This window comes from Homo sapiens, chromosome 4 (genome assembly GCF_000001405.40).
Source record: "Homo sapiens chromosome 4, GRCh38.p14 Primary Assembly".
Classification (NCBI taxonomy): domain Eukaryota; kingdom Metazoa; phylum Chordata; class Mammalia; order Primates; family Hominidae; genus Homo; species Homo sapiens.
The window spans coordinates 113,634,121-113,646,727 of record NC_000004.12 but is presented as its reverse complement, the minus strand read 5'-3'; the positions used below and the strand labels follow the sequence as shown (position 1 = coordinate 113,646,727).

Sequence of the window (12,607 nt, the reverse complement as noted above, 5' to 3'; positions counted from 1 at the left end):
ACCCTCTCTCCCTTCTTAGCTTATTGTTCTTCTGATCTTAGCTTCTCTCCCCCTCAGTTGCTCTGCTCCAACCCCTCTGGGCTCCTTGCATTTCTTCACCTGTTCCTGATATCCTCCTGCTGGGCCTTTGCCTGGAGTTCTTTCTGAGGATACAGCAAGGAGGCATGCTGGCTCACTTCCTGCAGGCCTTTGCTCATCCAAAGTGGAGGCCTGCCCTGACAGCTGTGTGTGAAAGAGCAGCCTTCCTCCCCCATGCCCCACCCAGCACTCCCTAGCATCCTTCTTGCTTTATCTCTGATGCACTTAACAAGATTTTGTATATTTACTTGTTGATTTGATTGTTTTCTACCCAGTAGTATGTAAAACTTCATGAGGGCATGGACTTTTCTTGTTTATTATTGTACCTAAAAAAGCACCTGCCGTAGAGTCTGCGCTCAATAAATACATGCTATAGGAGTTAAACAACGTGTGGGTACATATATTTTTTTTAAGTTCAAGTTTAGATTATCTGAAGAGGAACAAACACTTCTATTAAGAGAAAAGCATAAATTTTAACTTATGGCACAGCTGTTTTGTTTAAGTTCATCTGCAGGCTTTTGCTTTCCTTCTGGCTAAAATGACTATCAATGGCCCTGGGCTGGCCCACACCTAAAGACTGTAAAACAGGAGAGCAAACAATTGACTTCTCCCTGACTTGCTAAGTCAACAAACCACATGAGTCAGCAAACCTCTTTTTACTGCCTGACCTTCCTTAACATCTCCTTATCGTATTCTGAAATTCCTATTCTGCTGGCTGGAATCTTGGCCCAGACCCTTTTGGTGATCTTTGATGTGTTTCTCATACACCCTGCAGCATTTGAATCATCTTTGTCAGGAGTGTGAGGGGCTCATGGTCTCTTTTATGTGGCAGACACCTAAAACTGCTAGCTGCTTCCTTACCTTCCTCGGGAGCATTTTGATGATACTCCAGAAAGCAGAACAGCACTATCAATAAATGTCATGGATTTTTTTTTTTCTCCTTGCTGGATTACCTAGCCTTTCAGATAAGGTTGGATAAACCTTATTCTAGGGTAGCCCTTTATTTGACTACTCTACCCTTCCAAGCAAAAAGCTGCTTTTCAAATGAAGTTATCAAACTACAGTAGTCAGGAAAGAAAGAGAAAGGTTGGTTATCTCTCACTGTCACTTGGGAGCTCTGTCCTGGAACAAGGATTGACAAACTTTTCTGTAAAGCACCCAATAGTAAATATTTTGGGCTGTGCTGGCAGTGCTACCTCTTTGTCATTGTAGCACAAAAACAGCCACAGAAACTTCATAAATGAATAGGTATGGCTATGTTCCAATAAACCTTTACTTATGGACACTAAAATCTGAATTTCATTTAATCCATCTCAAGATGTAAAAAACATTCAGGCCGGGCATGGTGGCTCATGCCTAAAATCCCAGCACTTTTGGAGGCTGAGGCGGGCGGATCATGAGGTCAGGAGATCGAGACCATCCTGGCTAACATGGTGAAACCCTGTCTCTACTAAAAATGCAAAAAATTAGCTGGGCGTGGTGGCGGGCGCCTGTAGTCCCAGCTACTCAGGAGGCTAAGGCAGGAGAATGGCGTGAACCCGGGAGGTGGAGCTTGTAGTGAGCCGAGATTGTGCCGCTTCACTCCAGCCTGGGCGACAGAGCGAGAGTCCGTCTCAAAAAACAAAAACAAAAACAAAAAACAACAACAACAACAAAAAATTCTCAGTACAGGCTGTTCAAAAATAGGTGGTGAGCTGAATTTGGCAATTGAGCTATAGTTTCCTGACCCCTGCTCTACAGTGAGATGACTTCATCTTTGTGGATTACTTGGACCTTGGAGGTCTGCTGAACTCCCTAATGCTTTTTTTTCTTGGATCTGACAAATAGCTTTATTTGTGTCTCCCGGCCACTTTGTAGATTCTGAATCCTAGAAGGGAGAAGCTAAAATATCTGGGTGCAGTGATGATCTGCTTTGCTTCCCACTTCTGAGTTTCTCTAATTCTGGAAGATAGTGTCATTTCAACTCTGATTTCTGGTTTAGCTCAGCTCTCAATTCTAGGTCTAATGTGATACAAAAAGCCTTACACCTGTTGCTTGGTTTTGTTTCAGTCTTGCTGTTGGTCTTATTGTTACCTACCTTCTCGGTTGCCCATTGACTAGATTTCTTGCCTCATGATAAAGCTCTGGATAATAGCTGCCTACCTCTTGGTGCCTTCATCTGCCAACCACCACACCTAGGTAACCTATGAATTTTAGACTTAAGCTGAGACTACTCAAGGCTTCCCTTTATTCATTTTCCTTGGGAACTGATGATCTATTTCAGATTACCTTTGAATTTACACACAAGTGCTGCTTCTAGAATAATTTTGACTCCTGACTTTTGCTCTTACTTTTAAACTTTTGTCCCATTTATGATATAGGTCAGCTTTGTCTTCATTTGGCAGATTTGTAACCATCTAAGCCAAGAATCTGACAAGATATTATTTTTTCTGTTTCTTCTGATTTTATTGAGGTCTTTTTCTTTTTGAACCCATCTGTTTCCCCATCTTTCTCAAAACACCCTGAGTATACCAGGGTCTGCACGTCTTATGAAGTCAAAGTTAGAATCACTTCAGTTGTGAGCTTGCCTTTCTTAATTACACAAACTTCTTCTGACAATAATAGGTATAAACTAGAATGACATAATTTGATGTAATATAAGACCATTTTTCAGAGTACAGAAAAGCATATTGTATTCACCTTGATTTGCAAATATCTCATGAAGAGAATTACTTTATTCTTTGGGCCTATTTTTCACTTGTAAAGCTGGCCTGGGTCCCCATAAATACTCTGTCCAGTTTAATTTGAGTTTAACATGACACTGAGGAGTAGTCTGATATTACTCAGAGAGGGTGATACAACTCTGAACTTGTTGGCCCTTATCAGATATAATTTAAATTTCCCCTGGAAAGGGAAATAAGCACTTGGAATCAAGGCAAAGAGCCAAATCCAGCAGATTATCAAGATGGTCGGTGGGAGGAAAGTCTGATGGTTTCCGCTGCTAAGCGTGGGAGATACTGACCTACTCTCATTCACTTACTTTTGTACATAGATGTAGACTGTGAGCTGCCAAAATAGAGAACAATTCTTACTTTCTGTCAGCAGCTTATCAGAATTCCCTGACCTCCAAAAATGATGAACACAGTCCGGACCCTGTTCTTATGACTGGTGATTGATACAGCTGGCTTAGCTCTTGTTTTTTGACTTGCTTTTATTGGGCCCTGGACTATTTGTTCTACACACTTTAAATTTGGGTGCATGAGCACCCAGGTATGACTTCATAGACAGCCCTGTTTCTGATCTGAACCTATCATACTTGCCTCTGGCTTTGCCCTTTTATCCTCCCAACTCTCTACACTAGTGCTTCTGCCCTTGTTGGACTTTTTTTAAAAACTTTTTTATCATGTTTGTATCTTATATCTTGGAAGACAGAATTATCCCTTTCTATTGAAATATAATACTTTTAGCATATATTTGAATGAATATAGATTGAAGAAATGTAATGTCACTTGTCTTCCAGGAAAGACTTTCAGTTTTGTGGATTAAAACATTTGGTATTTTGATTGTTTAATTTCTAATCTTGATTTATAGGACACAGATAGTTTCTGCTCTTCTTTTGTTACATATCTATTTGTAAATGATTTGGTAATACTGTTCAGATGTTCCCTTTTTCTAGCTTTTCATTTTAAATTGTAGTATCTTTCTTTTATTTTATAGATATAGTTTAGCATGGTCTCTGCTATGGTTTGGATGTAACTTGACCCTGCCCAAACTCTTATTGCAACCATAATTTCCAGTGCAGCAAGGTGTAGGGTAGAAACTGTATGAGAGGGGGCCTAATGGGAGGCTTTGGATCATGAAGGCTTTGCCCTTGCCCTGGTGGGCAGTTGGTGCCTTTCTAGCAGAGCGCGACTCCATCTTGAAAAAAAAAAAAGAAAAAGAAAAAAAGAATGTCCCTTGTTCTAACCAGCTTCCACAGACAGCCTTATCAGAGGAGAAGTATGCTTTTGCCATCTCTTTATGGAAAAGAAAATAAGCCTTTAGCCTAGATGGCTATTGTTGCCCAAAAAAGGGAGGAGGGATAAATAGCTTCACTCCGCTGCTAAGTTGGTATCAGTTTGGGTTTAATTCAGCCTTAGCATGTCCATCTGTCCACTTCTGATGACACTTGTATGTGTGAGGAATGTGGGAGACAGGGAATGGAGGTGAGTGGACATTCTGGTAGTGTTCAGATATGCCTTGATTTTCTCCAACCCTGGAAGGGAGTAGTTCTGGAATCCTCCTACCTGTCCCTCAATTTTTCACTTTACTAAGATTATAACTTATAGCTTCCTTGAGATAGAAATGACTCTGCAGAGCCCATCCTGAATGGAAATCATAATAAATAATTCCTATATCCAGGGAAGTCTGAAAACTAATCTTGTTTCCTGTTTTTGGAGCACAGTAACTGGCAAAATACATTTGGGGTGAGTTTGACTTTTAGAGGGTGGTTCTGAAGCATTCTTATATGTTAGATTCCCTTGATAAAATGGCAGATTCTTGAGCTTCAGCATTACAAATTGATCTGGAGCGGGCTCTAGGAATCTACCACTTTTTAATTTTTTGTTTGCTTGTTTTATTTATTTATTGTTTATTATTTTTTATTATTTTTAAATTTTTTTAGACTGAGTTTCGCTCTTGTTGCCCAGGCTGGAGTGCAGTGGCATGATCTTGACTCACCGCAACCTCCACCTCCCGGGTTCAAGTGATTCTCCTGCCTCAGCCTTCCTGAGTAGCTGGGATTACAGGAATGTGCCACCATGCCTGGCTAATTTTGTATTTTTGGTAGAGACACGGGGTTTCTCCATGTTGGTCAGGCTGGTCTTGAACTCCCGACCTCAGATGATCCACCCACCTCGGCCTCCTAAAGTGCTGGGATTACAGGCATGAGCCACCATGCCCGGCAACTTATTATTTTTTAAATCAAGCACCCAGGTGATTGTGATACAGGTTTTCAAAGCCACAATTTATAAAAAACGTTGTGCTAGTGATAATGTTTTAGAAAACTAAATTCCCAGTAAAGCTTTGAGCCAGGAACTTTCTATTAAACTCTGTAGCTCTCTAGGCTCCCTGTCCTCTTTATCACTTTCGTAACAGGTCTAGAGAATGAAATCTGCAAGAAAGAAAGATCCTTAGATAGTGTCAATCTGAAACATATTGTATCTAAACACTTAACATAATTATCTTATTTAATTTTCTCAACTACTCTGCAGATATAAATATTATATCAAGTGTTTTTAATTTAGTTCAGTAAATATCGAGCCTTTACTATGTGCTCTGTACAGTGAAAAAGTTCAGTCTCAAATAGATATATTAATTTGACTGGGGTTGCTTAGTTTATGAAGGGTGGAACCAGGATTCAAATACATTTGTTTGATTCCAAAGTTCATGTTTCTACTCTACAAGCCTTCTGTTCTTCACTTCCTCATCTGCTCAAAGCTGTGAAAGCTCTCTGTGCAGCTGTATTACTTTTTATTTAAATAAAGCACTAGAAGGTGAACAACATGATACCAAACACTGTTGACTTGTAAGGGGCTTTCTTCCTGTAAGAGAAGTTAGGACATTTACACATGAAAATACTCAGCAGTTCAAAGAAGCATGTAATTAAGTGCCCAAATTAGAGATATAAAGAGAGAGGCTCATATTGTCTGTGGAATGTTTTCTACAGAGCATTGAACACATTTAAGAATCTGAAAGGATAAGATTTAGAAAGGAAGGAACAATGTTGTCTCCAAATTATGAAAGTTAAAATGAGTCTGTCTATGGATGATGCCAGGTAATTATCCTTCTACCTTATAAAAGTTGTCAACAGACAATTAGCTATGTAAGTAATTTTCCCCTCATTCCTTTCTTGTTGAACAGTTTCTGAAAGAGAAGCACTCTATTGTCATTTCCTTAATGCACATTTATTTTCTAAGCGTCTGCTTTCAGGCTTCTTCTATGTGTTCCTAAGAAATTGCTCTCATAGTGATTATCACCACCTCCTTATTACTAAGTCCAGTGGAACCTTCTTGTTCTGGTCTTACTTGATGTCTCTCTATAGTTGAATGCTCCATACCTTCCCCATTACAATACTGATTAGGTTTTGTTAGGACTATTTACCTAATCATCTAACTTTTCTGATAGATAGTAAGCTCTCTGAGGATGGGGATTGAGTCTGTCTTGTACGTAAGGAAACAATATGGCCCAGGAAACCATATGAGTTACCTCCTTTGGCTTTTGTAACATAAGTATTTTCTAGATTTCTTCTTTATCTCCAACCATTCATTCCTAATCTCCTTCGTGAATTCCCCTTCTGCCTACCTCTTAAATCTACGCAGGGCATTTCATTCATATATTAGTAACTCCCAAATCTATTTTAGAGGTTTTAACGTTTCTCTCCAGACACGTTTCCTACTAGCTAGTGGAATATTCACTTGGATGCTATTCTGGTACTTTGGTAATCATACTGTGCATAAAATGGAACTTGTTTTCCACCCTTGCCCCACTCAGCTCCCACCCAGACCTGCTTCTCTGCTTGTGTTCCCTGCTATAAGCCTTGCCCAAGCTAGAAATCTGGTGTCATCCTCTCTACCTCTCCTTCCCTTGCCAACTTATATAAGCACTTAGCAGTTCTCCCTTCAACTTTCTCAGTGGCTTTTAAATCTATCCCCTCCCCCTAACCCACATGCTTTAATAAGCCTTCCCTCTTCTGAATTCTTCCCTTTGCTATGAAGAATGGGGTTTTTTAAAAATGCAACTCGGATCTGTCACTCTCCTCAAAATCCTCCCATGGCTCCCTAATTTATCAGGCTAAATTCTAAAATCCTGACATTGCAAAGTCCTTTATATTTTGAGTTCCCCTATTTGTTTGCTACTCTCCAGCCATACAGACTCCCTCCCCAAAACTGTAATTTCTTATTTTTCCATCTTCTCTTGGTACTTTTCCACTTACATTCTCTTGGTGGGAGACGCTCTTCTTCTCCCTCCCACTTTGTCTGGCTGAACTCCTCCTTTCTGTTTAGGCCTCATCTTTGGCATCACCCCCCAGCCTTCCCTGATGCCCCTAATTGGTATTCTAGGGTGGGTGTTGTAGTGTACAAAGGTGCCTGGCTGAAGGAGTGAGTCAGCGCTGGTGCAGGGCTTCCTTTTTCTGATTTGCACAGTGGCCCTATGCAGGCTAGTAGTGGCTCTGGTACCACATTACTTATTTACATATCCTTATTCCCCCCACAAAAAGCCATTTGGCCTTAGGGACCTCATTCACTTTTTATCTTCAGGGCCTAGCAAACAAATTGTCATTAGATCCAGCACAGAGTATGGTATAATAATCTTGCCTATTCATATCCACTGCTTTCACAATTTACTATGCATTTTTTTTCTTTTTCCTTCTTTTTATTTTTGTCCTTAAGAGACAGGATTTTTCTCTATTGCCCAGGCTGGAGTGCAGTGAAGAGATCATAGCTCAGTGTAGCCTCAAATTCATGGGCTCAAGCAGTCCTCCCTCAGCCTCCTGAGAAGCTGGGGCTACAGGTGCACACCACCACACCGGGCTATTTTTTTTTTTTTTTTGGTAGAGGCAAAGTTTCGCTATGTTGCCCAGGCTGGTCTCGAATTCCAGGCCTCAGGTGATCTTCCCACCTTGGCCTCCCAAAGTGCTGGGATTACAGGCGTGAACCACCGTGCCAAACCTACATTTTTATATTTATTATTTTTTTCTGATTAACAATAAAGCTAGGTTATTAGCTGCCTGGGAAGAGGAGGAAGTAGATTTTTACATTCACTTTTAAATAAACTTTTAAATTCACATGAGAAATTCCACCTTACCACAATTGTCTCCCTAACATGTCTTTGGACTACCTCTGTTTCTCTAAGTTTTTGTTTTTTTCTGGTGTCTGAATTAAGTTGGTGACAGATTTGGGGGATATTTGAGTAGCACTTTATCTAGAGTTGCTTGCACAAAAGCTGAGTAGGAGCATAGCCCTAATGAGTTCGCATTACCGAAACAGGTCCCTGTTTGCTGAGAGTGAAATTCCTCTATTATTTTCTTAAACCCCGCTTTGCTAAGGTTATAAAGTGGTCCAACTGCATTCTACCTTTAACTCCAAACTGTTCTCTTAAATATGTACCTGGCAGAACTGAGAGCACATTGTGTTTTGCATCTCGTAGGTATCTAACCTACCCCCAAGGGAGATATTCTCTATGGGAATCACACCTCAGAAAAGAAAATAATATACTTTCTCCTACCTCTCTCATTGTTCGCAGGCTCATATTCTCCAAACCTCTATCTCATTTTTCTTCTTGTGCTCTGTGGTTCCCACTCTCAAATTTTCTCTCTCTCTGTCTCTATCCTTCTGTCTCTGACACACACACACATACACACACACACCTGTCTTTCTAGTCAGAGCTGTTTCTGTGTTCCTGTTCAAGCTCCATTGTTTTTAACCTCAGTCAGCCTTCCCTTTTCTTCACTTGAATTAGCTTCTTCATATTATGCATGGGTAAATGCACAGAATTATTTGAGTGCACTGTTAGCTCTTAGCTTCAGAAAGGATTCAGAAATTAGAGGAGTGATCAGGGGAGCCAGCTCTGAAGCTACAAATTGGAAGGCACTAAGAGATGAGTGGATGTGTAATACCATATTTGGGAGAAGGAGGATGGAGAGCTATATGTTTGGTTAAGGATGGGCTTGGACAAGGCTGCTATTCTTTCTTGCTTTTGGTCCACAAACTGGTGTCAAATCCTGGAAACTGTATAAAGATTTAGTATTTATTATTATTTAGTATTTATTATTATTTCAAAAACATTTCAACTCTGGTATGTCCAGGCAGCCTATCTCTGCATGGTAGAGGCCTGGGAACCAACCTATGGATTAAAAAAAAATGTGTACTTTTATAGTTTCTAGGAAAAAAGTTCAGATTATATCTTCCTAGGTAGATATTTTATAGAAATTTACATCCAAGTTTATACCACAGTAAATCTCTAAGGGACAGATTTCAAGGAAACCCCCTGAATAGTTGGATTACTGTTTTCTTGCAGCTAAAAATTTTTGATTATGTGCCCAAACCAAAACAAAAGATTGCATTTAGCTTCCTCGATGAGAATTTCTGAAACCAAATACAAATGAAACCACAGGAGGAAAGATAAGGACTCACAAGTTTATGAAACTTGCTAATGGGACTTTAACTCCCTCTTAGACTCACTCACTCAACTTTCTTATTCCATTTGATATATTTTATTTTACATTATTTTGAAAAACAAAATGAAACATTGGGGGATATGTTCCATTTTGAATATAGAACTATTTTGAGAATTGTAGGAAAATCATTGTATATTTAGAATTACACGTGTCCTACAAAATTGTCCTCATACATTTATTCATCCATTTAGCAAATCTTTTTTAATATCTGTCATGTTAGGTACTCTTCTGTACACCTGTGATACATCAATAAGCAAAGCTGACAAAATTCTTTGCCCTTATACTGCTTCTATTCTGGGAACAGGGGCTGTGAATAAACAAATAAAAAAAGCCTGTCATATTGTGGTCAGATTGTGGTCAGATTATGGTAAGTGGGCCAAGTGTGGAAGGAAGTCAGGGAGCATGCCTTGCAGATACCTGAGGGAGGAGCCTCTAAGGGGTAGTGAGATGGGGGTTTATCTGGCAAGGATGGGAGCAGCTTGCAGGCCATGCAGCATAGTGTGGTGTGGAGTGAGGGGACTGGAAGTAGGGCAGGGGCCCTAGGTCATTGTGAAGACCTTTACTTTCCATCTGAGTGGGATTGTTATGGACTGAATGTTTGTGCCCACCTCCCCAATTCATATGTTGAAGTTCAAATCCCCAATGTGATGGTATTTAGAGATAGGGCCCTTTAGAGGTAATTAGATTTAGAGGAGATCATGAAGATGGGACCTCCTTGATAGCGTGAGTGTTTTTATAAGAAGAGGAAGTGACTAGAGCTCTCTCTCCACTATTTGAGTTCACAGTGACAAGGGGGCCATCTATCTGCAAGCCAGGAAGCAGGTCTTCATCTGAAACCAAATTTGCCTGTACCTTGATCTTGGACTTCCCAGCCTCCGGAACTGTGAGAAATAAATATGTTGTGTAAGCCACCAGTCTAATGGTGTTTTGTTATGGCAGTCCGAGTAGATTATTAAGGATAGGAGGGCTTCAGCAAGTTCTGAAGAGAGGAGTGAGCTGATCTGACTTCTGGTTGAAGAGGATCACTCTGGCTGCTATGCTGCAAGAGGACTGCAAGGGCCAAAGCAGAGGCTGGAAGACCTGCTAGGAGACAGTTGGAGTAATCGGTGGCTTGAATTGAGGTAGCAGCAATGGAAATAGAACACAGTGGTCAGATGCAGGATGTGCTTTGAAAGTAGAGCTGAATGTACTGGTGGATTGGATATGAGTTATTATGGACAGAGAGAGGTCAAGGATAAATCCAGAGAAACTGTGAGGATAGAGTTGTCTCAGTGGAGGTGGACACAGCTGGGAGTGAGGTAGAATGTTGTGATGGGAAGATGAAAGGATTTGTTACCGGCACATTAATTTTAGAATACCTATTAGACTCCTGAGTTGGAGATGCCAAAGACGTCATTGGATGTGAGTCTGAAATCTGGTAGAGAGTTCAGGGTTGGGAATATAAAATCAGAAGTTGACAGCATGCAACAGGAATGTTATTTAAAATATTTGATAACCAGTATGACTTGAGAACCAACCAATCAAAGCAGATGCCTGCTTTAACCACAGGCATAGCTGTACAGCTCCTGTCAGCAGGCTATCAGTCCAATATGCACTTGCATTTGCTAAAACATATCCTTTCTACATTGGTCATTCTCAACCTTTACAGATAAACTACAAATTTTATCAATATACCATAAATGCAGATTACCCATTAAAACCAAAAAAGGCACCAACTAGAAAGCATAAGCAGGGAATATTTATTTTCTCCACTATTATATTTGTCCACTCCCTAATTCACATTATGCCCACTGTATTTTCTTGTAAGGGTTAAGTACAAGTATTTAACATACTAACATATTTGTGAAGGCCAGGGACTAGTTTGAAAGTACCAGCTTTCAAGTACAATGGACTTGTATTTGAGTCCTGGATACTCCATTGTACTGTTTTTGCAGAAATAAGCTCCTTTTCCTTCCTTTTTCTGAAAATAAGTCTGTAAAGCTGGAAATAAGACTACTTCACATTGTTATAAGGATTAGAAATTCTATATATAAAGGATCTATTACAGTGCCCATTAATTGCAGTACAATTTCCCACACAAATTGTAGGATTTTAGAGCTTGAAAAGACCTTAACTTGGCTTGTGTTCTTAATAATAACTGGTCAAATTATTATAATATATCACACAATATATGTTGGATTTAGGCTGTAAGCTACATTCAGAAATGCTTGGGCATAAATATGTGCACACTTGGACACCCTGTTTACCAGGAGGAAGTATAAGTTCTTATCAAAGGAAAGAATGATTTTGATTATTTCTTTCTCATAGGTCAGATTGTAAAAACCCAGCAAAAAGTGCTTTCGCATACAGCATTAGCAATCAATTATATCTTTATATAAATATTTGCCTATGACACCAAGTGACTTGCTAACCCCTCATTTTTGTTGATAACCTCTCATAGGACAAAAATTACATTGCCGCCTTGCTCTGATATTTCAGGGTTGAGCTGGTGTACTATTTTGTGAAGATAATTACAAGGCTAGGTAATGCATATTTTAGGTAAAGAGAGTCTGGCCTTCTAGGCTTCCAAAGATCCTATAAGTTCAAGTCCTTGGTACCTCTGTATTCTAGACAGATCTTGGGGGAATGCCTTGGCTGCATTCACAGATAGATAGTAATGTAAGTTCCATGAGGTTTTGTTTCATGACTGTTTATTTACTTTTGATTCTCCAATACCTATAAAGTCTCCTGGCACAGAATCAATGCCCAAGAAATAGATGTCAAATTAATATGTAGAAACAAAAACGCTCTAGTGCTAATTCTACCTCAATGTCATATGCAATTTTGAGGGAAGCAGACACTGAATGAGTATCTTATTTCTGTGAAAGCAGCTTGTAATTGATTTACAAATGTCATTCCTTGGACCTGTGACTGCCAGCATTGGACTCTGTGTCCTTTTATGCTCAATAATGCTTTTTCCCTCTCCTCATTAAATTCTGGATTTTTCTTACCTACTTTTCTCTCCCTACCAAAGAAATAGATAAAATACCATGCTCTTCATTTTATTGGTGGGTCAGTATTAATTGCCCAATTCTGTCTTTGCTTTGAAAGAATTCTTGCCTAAGAGGTCTCTCTCTCCATAAAGTCGATACCTTTTCCAGTTTCCCAGACAAGCCTGAATAAATATGTCAGAACCTAGCAGTGGACAGGGCTATGAATGATTCAAAACTGTCTATTCCCTACAACGTGTAAATGAAAATATAGACAGCTGTACAGGATCAGAATAGGGGAGAAGGAACAGGGAAACCTGGAAGGCTGCTCTTTTGTGAACAACAGCCTGGAAGGTTGGGAAAT

At 39.8% G+C, this 12,607-nt stretch overlaps 1 protein-coding gene across 53 annotated transcripts in view, besides 4 other annotated features; it reads left to right on the top strand.

Annotated features, from left to right (window-relative positions):
* CAMK2D (calcium/calmodulin dependent protein kinase II delta) overlaps window positions 1-12,607 on the top strand; it is a 310,707-nt gene that overhangs the window by 115,011 nt on the left and 183,089 nt on the right. The window lies entirely within an intron of this gene.
* Window positions 532-1,036: an enhancer, noted in NCBI's record as "NANOG-H3K27ac hESC enhancer chr4:114566848-114567352 (GRCh37/hg19 assembly coordinates)". NCBI's record gives its function as "activates a minimal SCP1, AML or CMV promoter by ChIP-STARR-seq in naive H9 embryonic stem cells {active_cell/tissue: H9 hESC(naive)}" and the evidence as "EXISTENCE:reporter gene assay evidence [ECO:0000049][PMID:30033119]".
* Window positions 631-775: an enhancer, noted in NCBI's record as "145 bp enhancer 297 fragment used in the MPRA reporter construct; PK_construct_1420". NCBI's record gives its function as "activates an SV40 promoter by MPRA in K562 cells {active_cell/tissue: K562}" and the evidence as "EXISTENCE:reporter gene assay evidence [ECO:0000049][PMID:23512712]".
* Window positions 697-708: a transcriptional cis regulatory region, noted in NCBI's record as "FOXA motif; enhancer activity is reduced when this motif is scrambled". NCBI's record gives its function as "necessary for full MPRA enhancer 297 activity {active_cell/tissue: K562}" and the evidence as "EXISTENCE:site-directed mutagenesis evidence [ECO:0005528][PMID:23512712]".
* Window positions 2,881-3,175: a silencer, noted in NCBI's record as "tiled region #15168; HepG2 Repressive non-DNase unmatched - State 23:Low". NCBI's record gives its function as "represses a minimal TATA promoter and a strong SV40 promoter by Sharpr-MPRA in HepG2 cells {active_cell/tissue: HepG2}" and the evidence as "EXISTENCE:reporter gene assay evidence [ECO:0000049][PMID:27701403]".